The following is a 27,997-nucleotide window of genomic DNA, read 5'->3' as shown; positions in this document are numbered from 1 at the left end:
AGCCCGTTTCCCCTCACTCCCTCTGCCTCCTGAACAACCCTGATGCTTCCCTGTGTGGTCCCTTGTGGCATAGAGTGCCCCCTCTTCTCAGGAACTGTGAGTAATAAACTATCTTTTTAGTGATGGTCATTCCTGACCTGTTGGGCTTCACCATACCTACATTATTTATTTATTTATTTATTTATTTATTTATTTATTTATTTATTTATTTATTTATTGAGACAGAGTCTCACTCTGTCACCCAGGCTGGAGCGCAATGGTGCAATCTTGGCTCACTGCAACCTCCACCTCCCGGGTTCAAGTGATTCTCCTGCCTCAGCCTCAAGAGCAGCTGGGATTACAGGCATGCACCACCACACTTGGCTAATTTTTGTATTTTTAGTAGAGACAGGGTTTCACCATGTTGGCCAGGCTGGTCCTGAACTCCTGGCCTCAAGTGATCCACCCGCCTTGGCCTCCCATAGTGCCGGGATCACAGGCGTGAGCCACTGCACCCGGCCTCACCACACCTGAATTATAATAAAACCTACGTTTTAAAACACACACCCATCCACCCAGTCTCTAAAACCTCCCCCAAGGCCACCTTCTCCTACCTCCAGATGGTGATGGCCAGGGTGCACAAGACCCCGGTGAAGGATGGGAAAAAGAGCAAGAAGATGAAGAAAGTCATCATCTGTGAGGCCCGCCAGGCTTTGCTCGGAGGCTGGAAATTCATCATCAGGCTGATCTGAAGAGAGAGAGGCAGCCACCTCCCATCTGCAGCCGGAGCAGCGGCAGAGGGACCCCAGCCAGGCCTGGCTTCCTGACACCTTTGCAGAGCCCCCTTCCCCAGCTTTAAGCGCCACCAGGTCACAGGTGACTGAACAAAGCTGATTGATGGCAATGTCGGACTGACTCACATTTTTGGAGTAGAACATGATGAAAAGCATAATCATTTGGATAAAGGGCAGCAGGGGGCAGAAGAAGATGCCAATCCTGTGAGGGAGAGAGGGTGAGTGTCAGAGGCTGGCGGAGACACAAGGAGTCGGGGTGAATCTGGGATGGTTGGGGGGAAGAGAAAGAAGATATTGTGGCCTGGATTGTGTGTCCCCAAAATCCATATATTGAGGCCTTAACCCCGAATATCTCAGAATGTGACTGTATTTGGAGACAGGGCCTTTGAGAGGTGATTAAGGTAGAATGAGATCACTGTAGGAGGCCCTAATCCAGTACAACCGGTGTCCCTAAAAGAAGAGATTAGGAGGCCAGGAACGGTGGCTTATGCCTGTAATCCCAGAACTTTGGGAGGCCAAGAGGGGGTGAATCACCTGAGGTCAGGAGTTCAAGACCAGCCTGGGCAACATGGTGAAACCCCATCTCTACAAAAAATACAAAAATTAGCCAGGCATGATGGCGTATGCTTGTAATCTTAGCTACTTGAGAGGCTGAGGCAGGAGAATCGCTTGAACCTGGGAGGCGGAGGTTGCAGTGAGCCGAGATTGTGCCATTGCACTCCAGCCTGGGTGACAGAGCAAGACTCCATCTCAACAACAAAAAAAGAAGAGATTAGGACATAGACACACACAGAAATGAAGACCATGTAAAGACATGGGGAGAAGATGGCCGTCTATAAACCAGGGAGAGAGGCTTGAGACAGATCCCTCCCTTATGACCCTCAGAAGAAACCAACCCCACCCGCACCTTGATCTTGGCCTTCTGGCCTCCAGAACTGTAAGATATGAAATTGATGTTGTTTAAGGCACTCAGTGTGTGAGACTTTGTTATGGCAGCCCCAGCAAACGAACACAGAGGGGGCCTGCTTCCATCCCAGCAAATTAGGCAGATTCCCACCATACCCAGTATCCTCAGCTGCCTTCTTCCCAGCTCTGGAAAAGAGATTTTATAGAGAAATCTCCCACCCACCTATTAAACCAACAGATGGTATTCAGCATGCCCTAAGCTAGCATGTCCCACATGCCTTGCCCCTCTCCTTCTTCCTCCCCCATGGTATTCAAGGTCTGAGGTCCTGTAGGGACAAGGCACTGAATAGCACTGAGTTCCAAATGAGAAAGGCATTCCCTTTACAACTCTCCCGCGGTGCTCGTGAGCAACAAAAGGAGAAAATCTCAGTGTGGTTCTAGAATGCCATTCTCCCATTTTTTAACAAGAAAGGAGTAGGCTTCGGGCTGAGAGCCTTAGCAAACTGTAACATCTCGCTAGAATTTAATGACTTTTTGGAATGGGATTGCTTTTATTTTTCCAGTTATTTGTGATTTCTTTCAAATGGCACTGGTTTTCCATTTATGATTGTAAATAAAGACTCCCTTAAAAATATATGTGAGAGGCCAGGCGTGGTGGCTCATGCCTGTAATCTCATCACTTTTGGAGGCCGAAGCGGGCAGATCACCTGAGGTTAGGAGTTCGAAACCAGCCTGGCCAACATGGCAAAACCCCCATCTCTACTAAAAATACAAAAATTAGCTGGGCGTGGTGGCAGGCACCTGACGTTTTGACATCTAGGGTCTTACTGACCCCAGGAAGATTGCCGATGTTGGGAAAAGCAGTCTGGCCATTTACAAAGGCCTTTCTTCTGCATTATTTCAACTAGGATGCCGTTGGGCAAGTTACTTAAACTCTCTCTAAACCTTAGTTTTCTAATCTTTAAATGGTGGACGTACTAGTACCTACTCACAGGGTTTTTTGAGAAGAATAAATGGACATGGTGGCTCACTCCTGTTATCCCAGCACTTTGGGAGGCTGATGAAAAGCAGTTATCATCTACCATGGCATTAAAAAAAAACTTATTTGAGTAAAAAAAAAAAAAAAAAGGCAAATAATAAAAAAAATTAAGTAGATAATGGTACAGGTGAAACGTCACTATACCAAAAAATAGGCAGGCTAGTGTACAATAGACTAAAACTTGGGAAACATGTTCCTCACTTCATCTCTACTACTGTCCCTAACATATATCCTTTTCTGTCATTATATTATCTTCTTGTAAAACTCATCATCAAAGGCAATATTCTCCTAAAACCCGCAAAGGTTAGAACTGAAATAACCATGGAGAAAAAAAAAAAAGATGTGTTTTTGATGGTGCTTATTCATGATTTATCAACAAAAATCTCAAAGGCCCAGAAGTCATAATGGTAATTTCTTTTTTTTTTTTTTTTCCTTTTTGAGACGGAGTGTCGTTCTATCTCCAGGCTGGAGTGCAGCCAGTGGCATGATCTCGGCTCACTACAACCTCCGCCTCCCTGGTTCAAGTGATTCTCCTGCCTCAGCTTCCCAAGTAGCTGAGATTACAGGCATCTGCTACCACAGCCGGCTAATTTGTATTTTTTAGTAGAGTCAGGGTTTCACCATGTTGGCCAGGCTGGTCTTGAACTCCTGACCTCAAGTGATCTGCCTGCCTCAGCCTCCCAAAGTCCTGGGGTTACAGGCGTGAGCCACCATGCCTATTTAATCCCCTCGAAAACCCTGTGAGTAGGTATCTGTACCATTTAAAGATTAGAAAACTAAGGTTTGGAGAGAGTTTAAGTAACTTGCCCAATGGCATCCTAGTTGAAATAATGTGGAAGAAAGGACTTTGTAAACTGCCAAATTGCCAGTGGGTGATCTAGCAGCATGCAAACACATCACCTAAACTACAAAAGAAAGGTCCTCACTGTCTCTAAAAAATAAACTCATTAACTTTGAGTTATTTGCAGACAGCCAAATCACCCAGGGCAACTTTAAAGAGTCAGAAAATAAAACTTTCCCGTTGTATGACATATTGGTGTTTGCAAAGCGTTTTCATTTACCATGGCATTTAATCCTCAACATGATTCAAAGGCAGCTATTCTTTTTTTTTTTTTTTTTGAGACAGAGTTTCACTCTTGTCGCCCAGGCTGGAGTGCAATGGCGTGATCTCTGTTCACTGCAGCCTCCACCTCCCGGGTTCAAGTGATTCTCCTGCCTCAGCCTCCCAAGTAGCTGGGATTACAGGCACTTCCAACCACGCCCAGCTAATTTTTTGTGTGTATTTTTAGTAGAGATGGGTTTTTGCCATGTTGGCCAGGTTGGCCTCGAACTCCTGGCCTCAGGTGATCCGGCCTCCTAAAGTGCTGGGATTACAGGCGTGAGCCACCGTGCCTGGCCTTTTCTTTTCTTTTCTTTTCTTTTTGAGACAGAGTTTCACTCTCGCTGCCCAGGCTGGAGTACCATGGCATGATCTTGGCTCACTGCAACCTCTGCCTCCCAGGTTCAAGCAATTCTTGTGTGTCAGCCTCCTGAGTAGCTGGGATTACAGGCATGCACCACCACGCCTGGCTAATTTTGTATTTTTAGTAGAGATGGGGTTTCACCATGTTTGTCAGGCTGGTCTCCAACTCCTGACCTTAGGTGATCCACCCACCTCAGCCTCCCAAAGTGCTGGGATTATAGGCATGAGCCACCGCACCTGGCCTTAAAGGTAGCTATTCTTATGTGCATTTACAGATGAATCTGAGGTTCAGACAAGCACAGTGATCTCCATGAGTGGCAGAGCCAGCCTCAGAATTCAGTTTATCCAGTTCCAAATCCAATACTTTCAAATTAGCAACACCCCATCAGATGGAACCTGGGAATGTGATTCACCACACAGAGTTCCGGCATTAACTGCATCATGTTAAAATAAGTAAGGAAAAGTAAGGCAGGAAGATTGCCTGAGCTCAGGAGGTTGAGGCTGCAGTGAGCCATGATCATGCCACTGCACTCCAGCCTGAGCAACAGAGTGAGACCCTGTCTCAAAAATAAATAAATAGGCTGAGCATGGTGACTCACACCTATAATCCCAGCACTTTGGGAGGCTGAGGCAGGTGGGTCACTTGAAGCCAGGAGCTCAAAACCAGTCTGGCCAACATAGTGAAACCCTGTCTCTACTAATACAAAAATTAGCCAGGTGTGGTGGCACATGCCTGTAGTCCCAGCTACTTGGGAGGCTGAGGCATGAGAATTGCTTGAACCCGGGAGGTGGAGGTTGCACCACTGCACTTCAGCCTCAGCAACAGAGCAAGACTCTGTCTCAAAAAAATAATAAGAAAATTAAAAATAAATAAATAAATAAATAAATAAGGAAACACAGCCACTGGCTAATTGTTTGCAGTGTCTAGGTGAGTTTGTAAAAATATTTGCTGCAACCAGTTGGCTATTCTCAATGCACGCAGAGTTTCTAAAACAGACGTCACAAATCCAAAAAACTATAGAGAACCCACCAAATGGTGTATCAAATATAAGAAACACACAGCCCTCTCTGTGTGTTTCTTTATTCTCCCATTGCTGTGGAGACATGGATGCAAAGTAAAGTTTGCATTGAAACAACCTAAGGACAAAGCAAAATGGCAAATCAATGCTAACAGACAACAGTTAAAGGTGGAGATTGTGACAAACTGGAGATGCTCAGTTTGCCACAGATCTTTGTGGAGAGAAGCCAGATGTTTCTGGAGAGAAGCCAGAAATTTAGGTGTTATGTGAAATCTCCTGAAGTTTAAATATAGGTGGTGTGTTAGTCCATCAGGCTGCTATAACTATAACTCCATAAACTGGGTGGCTTATAAATAGCAGAGGCTGGGTGTGGTGGCTCATGCTTGTAATCCCAACACTTTGGGATCCACCAAGGTGGGCGGATCACCTGAGGTCAGGAGTTCAAGACCAGCCTGGCCAACATGATGAAACCCCATCTCTACTAAAAATACAAAAATTGGCTGGGCATGGTGGCACATGCCTATAGTCCCAGCTACTTGGGAGACAGGCAGGAGAATCACTTGAACCTAGGAGGCGGAGGTTGCAGTGAGCCGAAATCACACCACTGCACTCCAGCCTGGGCGACAGAGGGAGACTCCGTCTAAAAAATAAAAATAAATAAATAAAACAGCAGAAATTTATTTCTTATGGTTCTGGAGGTTGGGAAGTCCAAGATCAAGGTGCTGGTAGATTCAGTGTCTGGTGAGGCCCTGCTTAGTGATTCCCAGATGTTGCCTTCTCTCCATGTCCCCACGTGGTAGAAGGGGCAAGGGGTCTCTCAGGCCTTGTTTATAAGGGCACTAATCCTATTCCTAAGGGCCATGTCAAAGATCAAATCACCTCCCAAAGACCCCACCTCCATCACATTGGAAGTAAGGTTTCAACATATGAATTTGAGGGGAGACCCAAACATTGAGACCATAGCAGTGGTTAATTCATATTTTTAGGGACAAAAGAAACACACCTGCAAAGCTGGACACGACCTGTGGGCTTCCAGGTTGCGATCCCTGCTCTATGCTGATTCTTGTCTGAAGTCCTTAAGCTCTCATAAAGGAAAATGATAGTCTAAATGCTAAATTCATGGTTCTCAGACTGGCTGGATGGGTTATCACCCCTGCAGCTTTAAAAACAACAGATTCTGGGACTTTGCCACCAAAACACCAGCTCCACAGTCATGTGGGAACCACTGGGCATTTTGCTGAGTCACAAAACTTACCACACCAGAGTTTGTGCATAGATCAGTTCTAGAACGTTCCTGGCAATGTCAAACTCCTGAAGGCCAAGACTTGTGATCAGTTGCATCCCAATGATTCTGTGAAAACATACTGAGTTTAGTACCCAAACCATAACTCCCACTTTCAGAAGATCCCCCACAGACTAGGACAATCAACAAAAGAGACCCTCCCCAGCTTGAAATAAAGTCGTAAGTTCCCTTGAAAATTTTTCAAAAGTTCTAAATCTATAAGCATGTTTTTGAAGAAGTAATTGAAGGGATTGAGGGAAAACTAATTTAACACAATGCAGTCTAGTGGGGGTACTGCTAAAGTGATTTAAAAAATTCTAGAGAATATTTGTTACCCTGAACATTTAAATTATCCCACTATTATCTTATACCCCTCTTTGCTAATTAAACCTTATTTTTTCATGAACCAGATGAACTCAGCACCTCTCAACTCAAATAAACATTTTTAAATTTTTGGTTGCTGCTATCAAATTATGTTTCCCTGTGTTCTAAATCCACAAGAAGGAAACCAAGTTTCCATTTACTCTGGGGAAACTTGATTTCATATTAATTTATTCATAAAGATGAGTTGCCAATTTAAAAAAAAAGATCTGTCAAAAAAAAATCTTTTCACTTTTTTTTTTTTTTTTTTTTTGAGATGGAGTCTCGCTGTGTCACCCAGGGTGGAGGGCAATGTCGCCCTCTCGGCTCACTGCAACCTCCATCTCCCGGGTTCAAGCGATTCTCCTGCCTCAGCCTCCCAAGTAGTTGGGATTATAGGCACACACCACCATGCTCGGCTAATTTTTGTATTTTTAGTAGAGACAGGGTTTCACCACGTTGGCCAGGCTGCTCTTGAACTCCTGACCTCAGGTGATTCACCCGCCTTGGCCTCCCAAAGTGTTGGGATTACAGGTATGAGTCACTGTGCCCGGCCAAACCTTTTCACCTTTATGTCCAGGCCCTCGACAGAGGCTAGAATAAAAGCACATTTTGGCAAAAATGAATGAGGAAATTTGGCATTGAATCTATCCACTGAGAAAATAATCAACATCAGACCATCTTATTACTAGAGCAGCTTGCGGAAATACATAAATGTCTATAAGGAATGAGAGGCTCATCATATTATTAAAAAAATGAATTACTAAATTTAAAAAACCAGACATGGGACAGTGACAGTGCCTCAATTCTGTATAGATAGATAGATAGATATCTAATATAAAATTAATACATTAATTCAATTAAAACAATGAGATAAATCTACATGTACTGACATGGAAAGATGTCAAGGCATAGTGACAGATTAGTAAAAGCAAATTCTACAATATGTTGCAGTGTGACTCCATTTTTGCTTTTGAAAATTATATAGCATTATATAGTAAAGACACACACAGAGCAATGTGTGCATAGAAAAATCTGGAGGAATATATACTAGAATATTGAAATTATCTACAGTGGATAAGATTTCTTTTTTTCTTCTTTTCTTTCTTTGCCTTTTTCTTCTTCTTCTTCTTTTTTTTTTTTTTTGGATAGAGACAGAGTCTTCCTATTTTGCCCAGGCTAGTCTCAAACTCCTGGCCTCAAGTGATCCTCCTGCCTCGGTCTCCCAAAGTGTTGGGATTACAGGCGTGAGCCACTGCCCTCGGCTGGATAAGATTTCAAATGGCTCAGTTTCTGTCTTTTATTTTTAGAATTTGTTTTCAAAAGGTTGTAAAAGGTCAACTGAACCGAGTGAACTATGACAACAGAACTGTCAGGTTAAGGTGAAATTTTAGCTAATTTAGAAGTGAACAGTATCCCCAAGGACAACAGGCAGACTTGGAACAACGCACGCTTTGAGTATGTCAGGCACCTGTATGTCCCACTCAGCCAGGAATCAGGTTCTGTTTACAGCATCAGGCCCTAATTACTTAAGAATGGCAAATATTTACCTCCTCAGAAACTCCCCCAGGAAGGAATTGACTAAAGAGAACACAAAATCCATCAGAAGGAGCCGGTAGATGTCCTGGCCAATGAGGGTTTCCCAACACTGGAAGGCAAACAAGAGTCAGGATGTGGGAAGGGGCTGTGGCCTCAGCTCAATTCTCCTCTGTTCCTGGCTCTATGTACCCATCAGGACATAGCTAATGGTTGGGTTTGACCAAGTCCTTGTGTACTCAAAAAAGTAGACCCACTCTGAAAAAATGCAGCTGAGTTTGTTCCCAGGGATGTTGTTCTCTTTTGGGTTTCCTTCTTTCCCCCATTAAAGCTTGCCTTCCACACATACCCAAACTTTCCCTGTTCATGATCTCTCCCCGTAAAACTTTTCTTCCCTGCCCTATCCCCTCTGGATCCCATTTCTCAGCCAAGGGTAATCGGTTTCTTCAACAGAGCCAGAAGTGCCAATGGCTAAGAATGCCTTCACTCTTTTTGCTTATTTACCTTACAAAAAATCAATTAATGTCTGCTTGATTAAGAAAGTGGCCTAGAGGTTTAGTAGGCTAGTGTAAACTGGAAGCTCAAATTAGTCAGTTTATGAAACTAGTGGCTAGGAACTTCTGCAGGAAGTCAGTGCTATCAGCTGATAGACTGGGAGCTTTTAGATTTGGCTGAAGGAGGAGAGGAAACTTTTGGGTGCACAGCCCAAGGATGGATGGATGATGGATGGGTAAATGGATGGATGATGGATGAGTGGATAGATGGGTATATAGATGGATGGATGAATGGATGGATGAATAGATGGCTGGATGAATACATGAATTGACAGATAGATGGATGCATGCATGAATGAATACGTGGATGAATAAATGGATGGATGGTTAGATAAATGGATGGATGAATACATGAATGAATAGATAAATATATGGATGGATGGATGGATCCATACATGGATGGATAAATGGATAAGTGGATGGATGTATGAATGAATGGATAGATGGATACATGGATGGACAGATGAATAGATGCATGGATGGATAAATGAATGATGGGGGAATGGATGGATGGATGCATGAATGGATGAATGCATGGAAGAAGAATATGGTATCTGCTCTAACCATACTAACTTGGAGGGCTGATTTTGAATCTCTTCGACAATTAGGGAGAGAAGTTGAGGGTGCCATGTTCATGTAAGATGGTTTGAGTATAGACACAACAGAGCTATTTTAGGGCCCAGGAATAATGGGTGACAGAGAAATAGAGAGAGACTCCTGATTCCTGACTCTACTTCCAACCCCAGGGCATCCTGGGTATCTGAGAGCTCACAATGACCATCAGCTAAGGATTGCTGTGTGATGTGAAGGCACATTCTCATGGGGGATGCAGTAGCAGGGGCAGAGGCATCCCAATGAGAAGGCCAGGGAGGCTGGCTTGTTCCTAAATCCACATGGGACACCACCCTCAGGCACCCATTCTCTGAGGTCAGTGAAGACTAGAAACTGTAGTTAAGTGAAGGACGGCCAGAAACAGTCAGCATTAGGACATAATTGTTACTGCCAGCATTTATGAGTTTACATATTGGTAAAGCCCAGGGTATCTAGGTTACAGGAAAAATAGAACATCAAGGATCAAAAAGAATTTTGTCCAACCCCAAAGCTGTTAGGACAGACTAGCACTAAAATTACTAGTGTCTATTGCATATGCTGGGCACTGAACTTATACTACACATGATATCATTTAATCCCAATTTTACAGATGAGAAAACTGAGGCTCAAAGAGATTAAGTGACTCGGAAGATGACACAGCACAGCTGGCCTTCAAATCAGGTCCTCCTGACTCTAGAACCTGAGCTTTTTTGTTGAGACCCATTTTGCCTTATGTTGCTTTCCAGATTAGTTTTCATTCTCTTCCCACAAGGGATTAATACCAAATACGGAGTGTGATGGCTCTTGAGAAACCCCTGTCCTCCCTGTTGGTCAAATGCTAAGAAACCAAACTTAAGGCAGAGAAGCATAGAATCTCACCTCTTCACCAGACAGGGCCACGGTGTTGAGCCAATAGTAACAAAGAATGCCAATGATTGATATTTTCAAAAAGATGTTTCTAAACAGAAGAGACAACATTTATGATTACCTTCAATGGCAGTCTTTCATTCTGTCTGCAAATAGCTCCTTTGGGGCACATGGTAAGATAGAAATTCCTGGCCCCTGTGGTTGGAGGGGGGCACATGGCTAGTTCCAGTGAATGAATTGTGAACAGAAGCAATGTGTGTCACTTCTTTTTTTTTTATTTTTTGAGACGGAGTCTTGCTCAGTCACCCAGGCTGGAGTGCAGTGGCGCGATCTCAGCTCACTGCAAGATCCGCCTCCCAGGTTCACGCCATTCTCCTGCCTCAGCTTCCCGAGTAGCTGGGACTACAGGCGCCCGCCACCACACCTGGCTAATTTTTTTTGTATTTTTAGTAGAGACGGGATTTCACCATGTTAGCCAGGATGGTCTCGATCTCCTGACCTCGTGATCCACCCGCCTCGGCCTCCCAAAGTGCTGGGATTACAGGCGTGAGCCACCACACCCAGCTAATGTGTGTCACTTCTAAGCTGGAGCACTTAATGCCCCTGTGAGACTCTCCAGAACTCCTCATCTTCCCTTTGGAATGGCGATCAACGATATTCAAGATGGCTGCTTCTCTCTGAGCCTGGATCCCTCAGTAACTAACATAAGAAGGTCCCTCCTGCTAATCCACACTGTGTATATAACACGAGCAAGAAATAAACCTTTGTGTTCGAAGCCACTGAGATCTGGGGGGTTGTTACTGCAGTATAACCTAACTTATTCTGACTGATACATTCTCTTTTGTTGCATCTCCAAATGATCTGATTTCACTTCCCATTATAATGATAGTAAATGTACATAATGTTTATTGGGTGCTGACCCAGCGTACACTGCCAACCTCTTTATTGAATCATCCCCCTCAGTCTTTACAATTCCATCATCTAGTAGATGGTATTTTATGCCCATCATACTCAATATGCAAGGTTATGGGGTGCAGTGAGACCTAACATTTCCCCTTCTATACAAACTTTTAAAAGTGGCACCATGGATCGGTGGCTGGGATGTGGGGAATAATGAGGGCATAGGAATATAGTCAGAGTTTTCTTTCTTTCTTTCTCTCTCTCTCTTTCTCTCTTTCTTTCTTCCGACAGGGTCTCACTCTGTTACCCAAACTGGAGTGCAGTGGTGTGGTCATGGCTCACTGCAGCCTTGACCTCCCGGGCTCAAGCACTTCTCCCACCTCAGCCACCTGAGTAGCTGGGACTACAGGTGCAATCCACCATGCCTGACTAATTTTTAAATATTTATAGAAATGGAGTCTCACCATGTTGCCAAGGCTGGTCTTGAACTCCTGGGCTCAAGCAATCCTCCCACCTTGGCCACCCAAAGTGCTAGGATTACAGGCACGAGCCACTGCACCTGGCTGGAATTTTCATAATATGAATTGGATATAATCAACTGACTGACCAATTTGCTTATTCATTCACCAATCATTCTTGGACACCTATGATATCCCAGACACTGTGAACAAGGCAAAGATTTCCCCATAAACTGTGGGAGAGGAAGATAATAAATAAATACAAATATGTCAGGAAGTGGTAAGAAAATTATACTGCAGAGATCATGCCACCGCACTCCAGCCTGGGCGACAGAATGAGACTCCATCTCAAAAAAAAAAAAAAAAAAAAGAAAGAAAATTATACTGCAGAGGAGAAAAGGTGGTAGGGAGCTGTTATTTTTAATGGGGTGTGCAAGGAAGAGTGCAACACGAGGGTGATGTTTGAAGAACGCAAAATGCAGTCAAGAAGCAAGCCATGTGGTCATGTGTGGGAAGAACATTCCAGGCCCATGCAAAGGTCCAGAGGTGGGAATATGGTTTGGCATATTTGTGAACGCTTAGGAGGTCTGTGACGGGGACAGGCAGTGAGCAGGAAGGATGGGGAGAAAATGAGGCTGGAGCGCTGGCCGGGAGCCGGATCTCACAGACCGTGGTAAGGCAAGGGCTCTGGAACTGATCAGCAAAGAAACTCAGTCTGCATTGTACAGACCTACACTTTTTTTTTTTTTCTGAGATGGAGTCTCTCTCTGTCACCCAGGCTGGAGTGCAGTGGCAGGATCTCGGTTCGCTGCAACCTCCGCCTCCCAGGTTCAAGAAATTCTCCCGCCTCAGCCTCTCAAGTAGCTGGGATTACAGACATGCGTCACCAAGCCCAGCTAATTTTTGTATTTTTAGTAAAGACGGGGTTTCACCATGTTGGCCAGGCTGGTTTCAAACTCCTGACCTCAGGTGATCCACCTGCCTTGGCCTCCCAAAGTGCTGGGATTACAGGCATGAGCCACCATGCCCGGCCTACAGACCTGTACTTATAAACCCCACCATAACCAGGAACGAGTAAGGGAAGAAACTAGAGGGACAAAATTTGGGCAGTTCCAGGCTTTGTGTATCAAAACTCTGGGATCACTTCTAGCACGTATGATGCCTTTGTGGGAATCACAAAAAGGCACCCCATGGGTGCCAGTGAGTTGCCCAAAGCACTCCTCCCACCTTTGTTTGGGTGGTGGAATTACAAAAATGGGCCCTTCCTCCCGCCTGAGGCAGTGGGTACCAGGACTCACAGCTTGACTAAGGGGAACGCTGGATGATTTCAGTCCCGTCCTCAGCCCAGGAGCCTTTGTGCGTGCACTGCCTGCCCATCTGTACATCCCATACTTGAGAACTACATCAATCCCCTGCTGGTAGCAATTAGGAAAGCAATCAAGCCATGACTTTGAGCAAAAGCCCACACCACACAAACACACTTCACTCTTTTGTTGTTGTTTAAGACAGGGTCTTGCTCTGTCACGCAGGCTGGAGTGCAGTGGTGCAATCATAGGTAAGCTCAAACTCCTGGGATCAAGTGATCCTCTCACCTCAGCCTCCTGAGTAGCTGGCACTAACAGGTGCATGCCACTGCATCCAGCTTTTTGTAGAGCCAGCATCCGGCTATGTTGCCCAGGCTGTTCTCGAACTCCTGGTCTCAAGTGATCCTCCCCACTCAACCTCCCAAAGTGCTGGGATTACTGACATGAGCCACCACGCCCAGCCACACCTTACTTTTGAAATTCTTCCTCTCTGGAGAAAAAACTTTGATACTAAAGCATAATCCTTTCTAGCTGCCATCCCACTTCTCTCTGTGGAAATAGAGGCTGGTGTTGGGCGCGACACATCACCTACCGGATCAGGAGAACGTAGACTTCGTGCCGTGGCATCTCGTACCTCTCCACAAGCCTGAACATGGAGTAGATGCATGGCACGGCCAGATTAATGCAGGACACAACGAAAGGCAGTAACAGCACCGCCCCAGGGTTACTGTGTGTCTTCAGGAACTGCAGGGGATGGGGGAGAGAACGGAGGGCTGACTTGTACACTGTACCCCTTTCTGCTTCACTCAAAAGTCTCCCATGATAGAAAACCCGAGAAGTAGCTCCTCTGCGGTTAACTATTTATCTATTTATTTATTTTAATTTTTTTGAGATGGAGTCTCACCGTGTTGCCCAGGCTGGACTGCAGTGGCGCGATCTCAGCTCACTGAAACTTCCACTTCCTCGGTTCAAGTGGTTCTCCTGCCTCAGCCTCCAGAGTAGCTGGGATTACAGGCACGCACCAACATACCCAGCTAATTTTTGTATTTTTAGTAGAGATGGGGTTTCCCCATGTTGGCCAGGCTGGTCTCTAACTCCCGACCTCAGGTGATCCATCCACCTCGGCCTCCCAAGGTGTTGGGATTACAGGCATGAGCCATCGCGCCCGGCTAGGTTAACTATTTTGTTAAGCTACCATTAATTTCCTTACCCCGTGCCAAGCAAACTGAGGCTCAGGGAGGGGAAGACACTTGCCCAGGGTCACCCAGCAAGGAAGTGGCAGATTGGAGCCTAGGTGTGTCTGACTCAGGAGCCTGAGCTCGAACAATCATTCTGTGGCTTTCCCTTTTTTACCAAGATGCCCAGGGCAATGAGGATGTGCTCCCTCCTGTTTAGCATAAGTGGCCTTGTTCATTTTCACCAGGCTTCACCTCTCTCTGAGTTCTGAATTAGGGGGTTGGCGTGTCTCTGCTAGCCCGTGCTGCTGGTTTTTTTTTTTTTTTTTTTTTTTTTTTTTTTTTTTTGAGCCGGAGTCTCGCTCTGTTGCCCAGGCTGGAGTGCAGTGGCACGATCTCGGCTCACTGCAACCTCTGCCTCCGAGGTTCAAGTGATTCTCCTGCCTTAGCCTCCCGAGTAGCTGGGATTACAGGGGTGCACCATCATACCCAGCTAATTTTTGTATTTTTAGTAGAGACGGGGTTTCACCATGTTGGCCAGGCTAGTCTCAAACTCCTGATCTCAAGTGATCTGCCTGCCTCGGCCTCCCAAAGTGCTGGGATTACAGGCGTGAGCCACTGTGCCTGGCCCTGTGCTGCACTTTTGTGTGAGGCTGGGAGAGGCACTGGGCCTCCAGGAGGAGGCAGCACTCTGGCATTTGGCTGGGAGTGGAGCCGGGACTGCACTTCTGCTAGGCATCCTTCCATGGGCCTTGGAGTCAGGGATTCCAATGAATTTATCTGATATCTCACATTCCCATATCCTCCCTGCATGGCCTCACCCTACCTCCGTCTACCTCTGGATGGTTCAAAAGCACCACTTGCATTTTTGGTGGTAGTTTTGGAGCCAGGGTAACCTGGGTTCCAATGCGGCTCCCTCCCCACACGTAAGCTGCAAGGCCTGGGGCCAGATCCTTAGCTTCTCTGAGCCCCTTTTCTCCATCTGTACAATGGAGAGATGATCACATGACTCATAGAGATGTTGCAAGAATTAACTGAGATCAAACAAGGCAAGGCCTGGCCCCAGGGCTGTGAAACGACACAGCTGAGCTCCATTCATGTGAAACTGTAGTCACCAATGAATGACCACCACTGTAGCCAGAACTACAGGTGCACACCACCGTGACAGGCTAATTTTTAAAATTTTTTTAGCGATGAAGTCTCCATGTTGCCCAGGCTGGTCTCGAACTCCTGGGTTTCAGGTGATCCTCCTGCCTCGGCCTCCCAGAGTGTTGGGATTACAGGTGTAAGCCACTGTGCCTCACCCCTGCATTTTTAACAAGTTCTCTGCTAGTGCTGATGCTGCTGGCCATAGATCCTGGGTTGAACCGTAGGCTGCACACCACCCTTCCCCTCCAGCATCTCATCCCTTCACCTGGTTCTCTCTGCCCTGGACCCTGGTGTTGGTTACCTCTAAGTTGTACTCAGCCAGGTAATAAACGGCTGCACAGCAGGCTATGGCCACTCCTGTAGAGACAACCCAGGCTACCATGTAGGCAGAGAAGCGGGTCAGCAGCTGATTGAACGTCAACTTGGAATTCTCCTGACGGAGCTCTGACAGGTTCTCCTAGAAACATAAGAAAGTCAAGTTTATGGCTGGGCATGGTGGCTCACGCCTGTAATCCCAGCACTTTGGGAGGCCAAGGCGGGTGGATCACTTGAGGTCAGGAGTTTGAGACCAGCCTGGACAACATGGTGAAACCCCGCCTCTACCAAAAATACAAAAATTAGCCGGGCGTGGTGGTGCATGCCTGTAATCCCAGCTACTCGGGAGGCTGAGGCAGGAGAATCACTTGAACCCAGGAGGTGGAGGTTGTAGTGAGGAGAGATGGCACCACTGCACTCCAGCCTGGGCGACAGAGTGAGACTCTGTCTCAAACAACAAATAAATAAATAAACAAATAAATAAAAATAAATGAAAGTCAAGTTTATCCAGAGATCCCTCTCCACTGCTAGCAAAGATCCCCAGGGAATGCTTGCCACATCCAGAGACATGAATCCAGCCCAAATCCACAGGTGAGAGAGAGGGGGAACATTCATGATGAACATGGATTATGGGAGACCCATAGAGGACTCTGAAATGGGCCAAGAATCTCCAAACACTGCTTCCATCTTTCAGAAACAGTTGGAATTAATAGATCGGGACCATGTTCTTAAGAAAAGCACACTGAGGTCACAAAATTCTTTCTTGAAGAATAAGGTTGGGTATCTACACTGAGAAAGAAGCTCACATCTGCAACCCTCTTGTTGAAGCCCCTTTATTTGGCTGGGTTTGGTGGCTCACACCTGAATTTCCAGCATGTTGGGAGGCCGAGGTGGGAGGATCACTTGAGCCCAGGAGTTCAAGACCAGCCTGGGCAACATAGTGAGATTCTCTCTCTACAAAAAATTTAAAAATTAGTTGGGCATGGTGGTGTGCACCCATAGTCCCCACTACTCAGCAGGCTGAGGTGGGAGAGGCTAACTGGATCCCAGGAGGTCGACACTGCAGTGAATTATGATTGCACCACTGCACTCCAGCTTGGGTGACAGAGCAAGACCTTGTCTCGAAAATCATAAAAAAAAAAAATTTAAAGCCCCTTTATTTATAAAATCAGCTTGCTCTTTGTTTTTTTCTGGAGATGGAGTTTCACTCTTGTTGCCCAGGCTGGAGTGCAGTGGCGCGATCTTGGCTCACTGCAACCTCTGCCTCCTGGGTTCAAGCGATTCTCCAGCCTCAGCCTCCTGAGTAGCTGGGATTACAGGTGCCCGCCACCACGCCCGGCTACTTTTTTGTCCTTTTTTTAGTAGAGATGGGGTTTCATCATGTTGGCCAAGCTGGTCGTGAACTCCTGACCTCATGATATGCCTGCCTCGTCCTCCCAAATTGCTGGGATTAGAGGCATGAGCCACCATGCCCAGCTGCTTTTTTTTTTTTTTTTTTTTTTTTTTTTAATAAGTTTGTGTCTATAGACCAGGGTTTCTCAACCTCTGCACTATTGACATGGTGGGCTGCATAATTCTCTGCTGCAGGTGCTGTTCTACGCATTGTAGGATTTTTAGCAGCATCACTGGCCTCTTACCCACTAGATACCAAGAGCACCCCTCTTCCCAATTGTAACAATCAAAAAAGTCTCTAGAGGTTGTCAAATGTCCCCCTGAGGGGCCAGATTTCTCTGGGTTGAAAATCATTGCCTTGGCTGGCTCACGCCTGTAATCCCAGTACTTTGGGAGGCCAAGGCGGGTGGATCACTTGAGGCTAGGAGTTTGAGACCAGCCTGGCCAATATAGTGAAACCTCATCTCTAAAAAATTCAAAAATTAGCCAAGTGAGGTGGCAGGTGCCTGTAATCCCAGCTACTTGGGAGGCTGATGTAGCAGAATCGCCTGAACCCGGGAGGCAGAGGTTGCAGTGAGCCAAGATCATGCCACTGCACTCCAGCCTGGGCGGCGGAGTGAGATTCCGTTAAAAAAAAAAAAAACAGCTGGGCGCGGTGGCTTACGCCTGTAATCCCAGCACTTTGGGAGGCTGAGGTGGGTGGATCACGAGGTCAGGAGATTGAGACCATCCTGGCTAACACAGTGAAACCCCGTCTCTACTAAAAATACAAAAAATTAGCCGGGCATGGTGGCAGGCGCCTGTAGTCCCAGCTACTCGGGAGGCTGAGGCAGGAGAATGGCGTGAACCCGGGAGGCGGAGCCTGCAGTGAGCCGGGATTGCGCCACTGCACTCCAGCCTGGGCGACAGAGTGAGACTCCAATTCAAAAAAAAAAAAAAGAAAAGTTACAGGTATACTGGAGAAGGGAAGGAGACCAGCCGATGGCAAATGAGTAAAGTGAGCTCGCCTTACCCTTATCTCAGTGCTAAGATTCTTCTGTTTTAGCTTCACAGCTTTTTCATGAGTGACAGTGAAGTCCCAGCAAAAGATCAGCTTGGTGATCCCTCCGGAGTAAATGTGGGGATTAATGAAGTTGTTCCGGAAATACTTGGCCATGCTAGAGAAGGCAGAAAGCAGAACACCTGAAGGTTATTATGGCCGTCACTGGGAGTGCAGGGCTTCAACAAAGGGCAGCCCTATTATTAATGGTGAAAGGCAACGTGAAGACTTAGCCCCAAGCTGTTGGCCTGGAGCGGTGTGGTCACCACACAGTGGTTAAACAAGCACTGGTTTTGGGGCTGCACAGGCCTGGCTTGCAACCCTGGATCTGCCAACTGGGGGATTTTTGTCTTGTGAATGGTTCTGATTCTCAGCCTCAGTTTCCATATCTGTAGAGAGGGAATAACAATAAAACTCACCTCACAGAATTTTTTTTTTTTTTTTTAGACAGAGTTTCACTCTTGTCTCCCAGGCTGGAGTGCAGTGGTGTGATCTCTGCTCACTGCAACCTCCACCTCCAAGGTTCAAGCGATTCTCCTGCCTCAGTCTCCCAAGTAACAGGGATTACAGGTGCCCATCACCACGCCCGGCCAATTTTTGTATTTTTAGTAGAGGCAGGGTTTCACCATGTTGGCTAGGCTGGTCTTGAACTCCTGACCTCAAGTAATCCACCCAGTTCCCTGTTGCTGCTATAGCAAATGACCACCAACTTAGCGGCTAAAAACAACACAAATTTGTTCTTTTACCCTTCTAGAGATCAGAAGTCAGAAAATGTCTTTTCTTGTTTTTGTGTTTTCTGTTTGTTTAGGGATGAGGTCTTGCTGTGTGGCCCAGGCTAGAGTGCAGTGGTGTAGTCATAGCTCACTGCAGCCTCCACCTCCTGGGCTCAAGCCATCCTCACGCCACAGCCTCCAAAGTAGCTGGAACTACAGGCACATGCCACCACACCCAGCTAATCAGAAAATGAGTCCACAGAGCTAAAATGAAGGTGTTGGCAGGGCTATGTTCCTTCTGGAAGCTCTAGGGAAGAATCCATTTCCTTGTCTTTTCCAGCTTCTAGAGGGTGTCCTCTTTCCTTGGCTTGTGGCCACCTCCTCCAACTTCAAAGCCAGCAGGGTAGCATCTTCCCATCTCCCTGCTACTCTCTGACCTCCTGCCTGCCTCTTATAAAGACCCTTGTGATTCCATTGGGCCCACTGGGATAATCCAGGATAATCTCCCCATTTAAAAATCCTCAGTCACATCTGCAAAGTCCCTTTTGTTATGCGAAGTTACATATTCACCAGTTCTGGGGATTAGGATGTAGACTTCTCTGGGGGGGGTCGGGGGAGATTATTCAGCCTTCCAAAGAGTCTATGCAGTGCTTACAGCAGCAAGCACTTGATGAAGGCACTGTTATGGTCATGGGCTGTCTCAGGCCCAGGAAGCCCTGAGCACACACACAAAAATGCTGCACAAGATGGACGGATGCTGCTGTTCTGAAATTTGCCACCACTCAGTAACAGCAACTTTAGAATCATTTCTGGCCGGGCATGATGGCTAACACCTATAATCCCAGAACTTTGGGAGGCCCAGCAGGGGGGATTACCTGAGGTCAGGAGTTCAAGACCAGCCTGGCCAACATGGTGAAACCCTGTCTCTACTAAAAATAGAAAAATTAGCTGGGTGTGTTGGCATGAGCCTGTAATCCCAGCTACTCAGGAGGCTGAGACAGGAGAATCACTTGAACCCGAGAAGCGGAGGTTGCAGTGAGCCAAGATCACACCACTGCACTCCAGCCTGGGTGACAGAGCAAGACTCTGTCTCAAAATATTAATAATAATAATAATAATAAAATCATTTCCTACTTTGACAGAACAAAACAAAATCTCACTTTAGTTTGAATTAGTATGCTGGCAGTCAGGTTGCTATGGGTTGGACTGTGTACTTCCCAAAATTCGTATGTTGAAGTCCTAACCCCCTAGTACCTTAGAATGTGACTGTATTTGGAGGTAGGGTCTTTAAAGTGGTAATTACAGGCCGGGCGCAGTGGCTCACGCCTGTAATCCCAGCACTTTGGGAGGCTGAGGCGGGTGGATCACTTAAGGTCAGGAGTTTGAGACCAGTCTGGCCAACATGGTGAAACCCCGTTTCTAATAAAATTACAAAAATTAGTCGGACGTGGTGGCACATACCTATAGTCCCAGCTACTAGGGAGGCTGAGGCAGGAGAATCCCTTGAACCTGGGGGACAGAGGTTGCAGTGAGCTGAGATCACACCACTGCACTCCAGCCTGGGCAACAGAGTGAGACTCCATCTCAAAATAAATTAATTAATTAATTAAAGTGGTAATTACATTTTTTTAAAATGGGGTCATTAAATTGTGTCCCAATTCAGTACAAATGGCATCTTTATAAAAAAGGGAGATTAAGACACAGAGGGATAACCATGTGAAGACACAGGCAGGAGACAGTGGCCGTCTACAAGCCAAGGAGAGAGGCCTCAGAGGAAACCAAGCCTGCTGACACCTTGATCTTGGACTTCAGGCCTCCAGAACCATGAGAAAATAAATTTCTGTTGTTTAAACCAATGGTCTGCTGTACTTTGCTAGGCAGCCCTAGCAAACTAATACAGAGATTGCATGTTGCTTTTCTTTCTTTCTCTCTCTTTTTTTTTTGAAACAGGATCTCCAGTTGCTCAGGCTGGAGTGTAGTAGACTGATCTCAGCTCACTGCAGCCTCGACCTAATGGGCTCAGGTGATTCTCCCACCTCAGCCTCCCGAATAGCTGGGAACACAGGCGTGCGCCACCAAGCCAGGCTAATTTTTTGTATTTTTAGTAGAGATGGGGTTTTGGTATGTTGCCCAGTCCAGTCTCGAACTCCTGGACTCAAGTGATCAGCCTGCATCAGACTCCCAGAGTGCTAAGATTACAGGCATGAGCACCGTGCCCAGCCTTTCATATGTGTATTTTCCATTTGTACCTCCTCTCTGATAGTTATCTATCATGTTCTTCCCTTCATATCATTGCTGGGGTAACTGCACCCTTATTATCAGGCTGACCAATTTCTTTAAAAGCACAGAAAAACCTCTCTTCCTCTGTCCAAACTCCTATTTTTATATTGCAGGACAAGGAATAATTGGACAGCAATGGAAAGTCAAAACTGCAGGCTGGGCACGGTGGCTCACGCCTGTAATCCCAGGACTATGGGAGGCCGAGGCGGGTGGACCACCTGAGGTCAGGAGTTTGAGACCAGCCTGGCCAACATGGTCAAACCCCATCTCTATTAAAAATACAAACATTAGCGGGGCGTGGTGGCAGGTGCCTGTAATCCTAGCTACTCGGGAGGCTGAGGAAGGAGAATCACTTGAACCTGGGAGGTGGAGGTTGCAGTGAGCCCAGATTGCGCCACTGTACTCCAGCATGGGTGACAGAGCGAGACTCTATCTAAGAAAGAAAAGAAAAGAGAGGAGAGGAGAGGAGAGGACTGCAGAGAAACTGTTACCTGGGTAATTTTTGAATTTCTTGGATTTTTGCTGAAATCTAACATGACCCTCAGAATCAGGAAATGTAGATGCTTCCATACCTGAACAGCAAACTGAAGAAGCAGGTGGTCAAGCATGCTCCGATTGTGAAGATGTAGGCCAGCTGCATGTTGTAGGATGCCCCGCTGTTCCCGTGCTGGATGGTGGAATTGGTGTAAAAGCCATAGTACATCACTGTGTCCCTAAAATAACCCTGAAAGGTACAATAAACCATAGGTCAGGTGGATCTCCTGAAAAAAAAGGTAAACGATTATGGTCATGAGAGTTGACCTCTCCTGAATACAAGAAGCCTGGGCCAGTCAGTTTAGACATTTTGTTTTCCAGGAAAGGGGCACTGAGAATTTGGACATTGTGTCACTGGGCTCTCAGACTTGAAAAGAAATCCAGTGTAACTTTACAATGGAGACATTGAGCTGTTACCACCTGGCCCAGTGATCAAGTGAAACATCAGCAAGAACACGACAGCCAGGCCTCTCGTTTCACCAGTATTATGTGCCTCTGTCACCAGTATTATGGCTAAACATGCTTAATAGGAAACGAATCAAGCCTATAGGCCTACATTTCAGTGCACAGGAAATAAGAAGCCAGAGAAACAAATTCTAGAAACCACTAGGAAATCATCAGACAATTCCAGAAGGTAGGATGTTGGAATCTACATAGCAGTAGGCCCAATTTCTGCAATAAGCCAATGTCAAGAAAAAAGGGGCTGGGCTGGGGAGATTATTTATTTATTTATTTATTTTTTTGAGATGGAGTCTCGCTCTGTCACTCAGGCTGGAGTGCAATGGCAAGATCTCAGCTCACTGCAACCTCCCGGGTTCAAGCAATTCTCCCTGCCTCAGCTTGCCTAGTAGTGGGGATTACAGGCTTCTGCCACCACATCCGGCTAATTTTTGTATTTTAAGTAGAGATGGGGTTTTGCCATGTTGGCCAGGCTGGTCTCCAACTTCTGACTTCAAGTGATCCACCCGCCTCGGCCTCCCAAAGTGCTGGGATTACAGGAGTGAGCCACCGTACCCGGCTGATTATTTTAGATTAATAGAGATTTAAGGCGGGGGCGGACACAGAATGTAAAATCTGATTGTTGACTGAATCCTAGTCTGAATAAGCAAGTTATGAAAGACATTTTGGGGTCCAGGAAGGGAGGGAGGGAGGGAGGGAGGAAGGAAGGAAGGAAGGAAGGAAGGAAGGAAGGAAGGAAGGAAGGAAGGAAGGAAAAGAAAGAAAGAAAGAAAGAAAGAAAGAAAGAAAGAAAGAAAGAAAGAAAGAAAGACAAAAGGAAAGGAAAAGAAAAGAAAGAAAGAAGGGCTTATAGTACAATCCTATCCTCTGTTTATTTTTAAAAGCATAATAATCTATGTGCCTGTCATCTATTTGGTTTTTTTTTTATCAAGTATGTATCTATCAACGTTTGTACAGGAAGAAAAAAACAGTCTACAAAGATATATCTCAAAATGGGGAGTTGGACAAAGAAAAAAATATAAAATGAACTTTCTCTTAGTTTTCTTCTATAGTAGGAATTTTTCAAAAGGAACATTGTATTTTGTAGAAATAAAAATTAAAAAGAAAGAAAACATAGATCTATAAACACCAACACAAGAAAATGCCCACCACATATTGCTAAGTAAAAAAAAAGCAAGTTGTAGATAATATACAATGAATAATTCATCTTTTGTAAGAAAAGAAAAGAATGCCTCTGTACGTGCACAGAAGTGTCCATATGTTTGCCAAAAAAGTGTGTGGATAAAAACAAACTGTTCAAGATGGTTGCCTCTGGAGACAGAAATTCTACTACGATGTGTGTATGTTACTTTGCAGGAAAACACTTTATTGATTGATTGATTGATGATTGAGACAAGGCCTCGCTCTGTTGCCCAGGCTGGAGTGCAGTGGGGGAATCTTGCTTCACTGCAATCTCTGCCTCCTGGGCTCAAGCAATCCTCTTACCTTAGCCTCCTGAGTAGCCAGAATTACAGGTGTGTGCCACCATGCCCTGCTAATTTTTGCATTTTTGTAGAGACGGGGTTTTGCCATGTTGCCCAGGCTGGTCTCCACTGCTTTGGCCTCCCAGCTTGCTGGGATTACAGGCATGAGTCACCACACTCAGCCAGGAAAACATTTCAAACATCCACTTTCCCCATCAGTTGACCCCCAGGCAAAATGAGAGGTGTGAGTGGGTGACCGGCAAGGCACGTCCCTGGGTTTCCGAGGTGATTGGTGCACTTGGGGTAGGGGAAGTGGAGGACTTACCACCCCAGTGAAAAACTCCAGCCCAGTGAACTGGAGGGTGTTCTTTTTGGCCACGGTAAACTGAGGGATTATGATGAAGCTGAAGTTCAGGATGAATGAGAAAATGTTGAACTTCAAAAGCCATCTCAGAAAGTTGAAATAGGAGAGGACGCTGGTTCCAAACTTGCCTCCAATGATCTTCAGCGTCTTCTGCCACAGGCTGATGGAATTCAGAATTTCCGACAGGCTGTTCTTGGATCTCCGATAAGCCTGGAATCAGGATTCAAAGCAGGTGTGGCTTGCTGTTGACTCAACAAATATCGACTGAGCAGGTGCCATAATAACAGAAACAGCCACCATGTCTGGAGTATTGTTAAGTGCAGGCACCATGCTAGGCATGTTTACAAATGTTATGTCAACTCTAAGGTGGAGCTATTATGACCTTCCCAGGTTTGCTGTTGAAGGTGCCACTCACAATGGCCAAGTTGGCCAATGAACTCAGCAACCTCTTAGTTCTTCCCCATGCCCACCTCGCTTTTCCACACCTGTACTAACCGTTGGCTCTGGGCAATGAAATTGCTCTGATTTTTGGTTCATCTTCCCCCTGAGTCCCCTTTCATCCTCACTCTCCTCCCTCCCTGTTTTCACCCTCTTGCTGTGCCTGTTTTACTGACTTACCCGGGAAATGGAGTTCAGACACTGAATACAGCAATTGAGCTGAAGGATACGATGGGTCTGTTTGCTTTTTTCTTTGTCAACTATTTTCCTGTAGGGAACAGCAAGAGAAAATGAGAGATACAAATGTTGCAACTCATTCATTCAAAAAATAGTTACATGGTGGCTCATGCCTGTAATCCCAACACTTCGGAAGCTGAGGCAAGAGGATCACTGAGGCCAGGAGTTCAAGACCAGCCTGAGCAAAATAGTGGGACCTTGTCTCTATTAAGAAAAAAATTAACAAAAAATAGCTGGGTGTGTTGGTAGTGCCTGCCTGTATAGTCCCAGCTACTCCAGAGGCTGTGGTGGGGGGATTACTTGGGCCCAAAAGTTTGAGACTGCAGTGAGCTATGATCACACCATTGCAGTCCAGCCTGGGCAACTGAACGAGACCTCATTTCTTTCTTCCTTTTTCTTTTTTTTTTTTTTTTGAGATGGCGTCTCACTCTGTCACCCAGGCTGGAGTGCAGTGGCCTGATGGCGGCTCACTGCAGCCTCTGCCTCCCAGGTTCAAGCGATTCTCCTGCCTCAGCCTCCCGAGTAGCTGGGATTACAGGCGCCCACCATGCCCAGCTAAGTTTTGTATTTTTAGTAGAGATGGGGTTTCCACCATGTTGGCCAGGCTGGTCTTGAACTCCTGACCTCAGGTGATCCACCTGCCTTGGCCTCCCAAAGTGCTGGGATTACAGGCATGAGCCACCACACCCAGCCGATCTGATGGTTTTATAAAGGGCAGTTCCCCTGCACATGCCGTCTTGCCTACCACCACGTAAGATGTGCCTTTGCTCTTCCTTCGTCCTCTGTCGTGATTGTGAGGCCTCCCCTGCTGTGTGGAACAGTGAGTCCATTAAACCTCTTTCCTTTATAAATCACCCAGTCTCAAGTATGTCTTTATTAGCAGAGTGAGAGCAGACTAATACACATTCTCAACCTAGGGGGATTTTGCCCCCACACAATTGGCAATGTCTGGAAACTTTTCTGGTTGTGAAACTAAGGAGTGGAGAGGGGGTGATATTGGCATCAAGTACATAGAGATCAGAGATGCTGCTACACACCCTACAATGAACAAAACAGCCCCCACAACAGAGAAAGATCCAGCCCTCAGATGTTACTTGTACTGATATTAAGAAATCTTGCTATAAGGTCTTTGGAGCCCATATTCAGTGACAGAGGCAGCCATACAGAGTTCAAAATGGAAGTGTTTTCAGAAAGACACAGTCACAGTTGGTCTCCTTACCCTTCCATGAACTCACCACATCTGCTTTGTTCTGGTTCTTTCCTAGCTTTCTTTGGTCCACCTCGAAGGCCCATCCCAATGTCATGGTCAATTGTCTTTCAAGGCCCAGCTCAAATGCCCCCTCTCTCCATTTTTCCCCAGCAAAGTCAGGGAGGGCAGACCTTTCTGGTCCTCCCATTGCAATCTCTATTTTGACTTGGCCTGATTTACTTTCTGCCATTTGTAATTTACTTGTTGACAAATCTATTCCACCCTGCCAGGATTTGAAATTTGTCTTTGAAACCTCAGAAAATCCTACATCCATGAATCACTTACTAGTAATTGTTGTTGCATCCACTCTACTACTTTCTGCCAACTATATCAAATTGAAAAAAAGAAAAAAAAAGATTAAGCAACAATTAATGTAAACTCTGAAGGCTAAAACAGCCCTTACCCTCGGGTTTTGAATTCCTGAGCTTATAAAACTCCTAAGGTCTTTATGTATTTTTTCTTTTTTATTTTAGTTTATTTTTTTTTCCGATACAGAGTCTTGCTCTGTCACCCAGGCTGGAGTGCAGTGGTGTGATCTTGGCTCACTGAAACCTCTGCCTTCCAGGTTCAAGCGATTCTCCTGTCTCAGCCTCCCCAGTAGCTGGGATTACAGGCGCATGCCACCACACCCGGCTAAGTTTTGTATTTTTAGTAGAGACAAGGTTTCACCATGTTGGCCAGGCTGGTCTCAAACTCCTGACCTCATGATCTGCCCGCCTAAGCCTCCGAAAGTGCTGGGATTACAGGCATGAGCCACTGCACTAGTCTGATCTTTATTTTTTAAGTAAAGATTTTATTTATCATAGTTTGAGATTTACAGTAAACTTGCAAAGACAGTAAAGAAAACTTCCATATACCACTCGCTAGTTTCCCCGTTAATATTTTACATTTCCATGGTAGGTTTATCAAAACTAAGATACCAGTACTGGTACGTTACTATTACCTAAACTCCAGACTATTCAGATTTTACCAGTTTTTCCACCGATGTCCATTTTCTATTCCAGGATCTCGTCCAGGATACCACATTGCATTTACTTGTCATGTCTCTCTTTTTTAATTTTCATTTTTTGTAAAGATGGAGTCTCACTATGATGCCCATGCTGGTCTCGAACTCCTGAGCTCAACTAATCCCACCACCTTGGCCTCCCAAAATGCTGGGATTACAGGCGTGAGCCACCACACCCAGCCTGTCACGTCTCTGTAGAACTTTCCACTCCATGATAGTTTCTCAGACTTTCCTTGTTTTTGATGACTTTGACAGTTTCAAGGGGTACTGGTTGAGTATTTTGTAGAATATCCTTCAGTTGGGATTTGCCTAATGTTTTTCGCTGTTTAGACTGGGGTTGTGGGTTTTAGGAGAGAGTAGCACAGAGGAGACATGTTTCCCCCATCACATGACTTATCTTTGGGGATGTTAACCTTGAGTCTTGGCCAAGGCAGTATTAGGCAGACTCTCCACTGGAAAGTTACACCCCTCTCTTCCTTCCACGCCCTACTCTTTGGAAAGCAGCTCACCAAGCAGAGCCCACACTCCAGCCCAGGAGCAGGAATTAAGCTGTAGCCCCTGGAGAAAGGAGTACCTACAGAGGGCATTTGAAATTTTTCTGTCAGGAATATTTGTCTCTTCTATTGTGCTTATTTATTTCTTATCTTTTTGAGATGGGGCAAAAGTAGAGGATTGAGGTTCGCATGAAATCTGAGAAAGAAGAAAAGCCTTTAGTCCATACCTAAGGTTCCTTTTCTCTTCCATGGTCCTTGGCTGGTTCCTGATGGCTTTAATTCTGTCTCTGGATGTCATGGGTATAAGGGATGCGATTAACTTCTGTCCTATGAAAGAAATTAATGGAATTTAATTTCTTTTTTCTTTAACAGAATCGTAACACTGAAATGTGGTGCTGAAGTCAGAGCACGTAACACAAGGGAAGAAGTTTATGGAGTTGGGGATCTCAAAGATCACAAAGGAAAACAACAAAAAAAACACATATATGTGTTAAAGCTCAAAGTGAGAGCAAATGAATAATGGCTGCACTTTATTCCAATTCAGTGTTTTTCTCTTTCCTGTAACAAAAAACATTTAGCAAAGTCAATAAGATCCTGCGTGTTTGGTCACCCTACCTCTTCTATTTTTTTTTTTTTTTT

At 45.7% G+C, this 27,997-nt stretch overlaps 1 protein-coding gene and 1 long non-coding RNA gene across 9 annotated transcripts in view; one reads left to right on the top strand and one right to left on the bottom strand.

Annotated features, from left to right (window-relative positions):
- TMC5 (transmembrane channel like 5) overlaps positions 1–27,997 on the bottom strand; it is an 88,575-nt gene that overhangs the window by 11,194 nt on the left and 49,384 nt on the right. For 4 of the 5 annotated variants that reach the window (NM_001105248.1, NM_001105249.1, NM_001261841.2 and 1 more), the window contains 12 exons: positions 27,586–27,685; positions 24,553–24,640; positions 23,896–24,144; positions 21,687–21,838; positions 18,095–18,239; positions 15,677–15,832; positions 13,644–13,795; positions 10,402–10,480; positions 8,392–8,489; positions 6,455–6,550; positions 900–975; positions 594–727 (listed from right to left, as the gene is read on the bottom strand). In NM_001105248.1, the coding sequence (NP_001098718.1) occupies positions 594–727; positions 900–975; positions 6,455–6,550; positions 8,392–8,489; positions 10,402–10,480; positions 13,644–13,795; positions 15,677–15,832; positions 18,095–18,239; positions 21,687–21,838; positions 23,896–24,144; positions 24,553–24,640; positions 27,586–27,685 (1,525 nt within the window). The remainder of the gene's footprint in view (positions 1–593; positions 728–899; positions 976–6,454; positions 6,551–8,391; positions 8,490–10,401; positions 10,481–13,643; positions 13,796–15,676; positions 15,833–18,094; positions 18,240–21,686; positions 21,839–23,895; positions 24,145–24,552; positions 24,641–27,585; positions 27,686–27,997) is intronic. The other variant, NM_001308161.1, reaches the window with a different exon arrangement.
- Positions 19–27,960, top strand: TMC5-AS1 (TMC5 antisense RNA 1). Of its 4 annotated transcripts, XR_007065015.1 has the most exons (4): positions 19–96; positions 600–991; positions 10,133–10,562; positions 10,840–10,869. It is a non-coding gene; the product is annotated as a TMC5 antisense RNA 1 (long non-coding RNA). The 4 variants fall into 4 exon arrangements; XR_007065016.1 differs by lacking the exons at positions 10,133–10,562; positions 10,840–10,869 and adding an exon at positions 27,731–27,960; XR_007065014.1 differs by lacking the exon at positions 10,133–10,562 and having other exon boundaries at positions 10,840–11,172.

The sequence above is a fragment of the Homo sapiens genome, chromosome 16 (genome assembly GCF_000001405.40).
Source record: "Homo sapiens chromosome 16, GRCh38.p14 Primary Assembly".
NCBI classification, from domain to species: domain Eukaryota; kingdom Metazoa; phylum Chordata; class Mammalia; order Primates; family Hominidae; genus Homo; species Homo sapiens.
The sequence above is the reverse complement of the archived record's forward strand: the minus strand, read 5'-3'. Positions and strand labels throughout refer to the sequence as shown.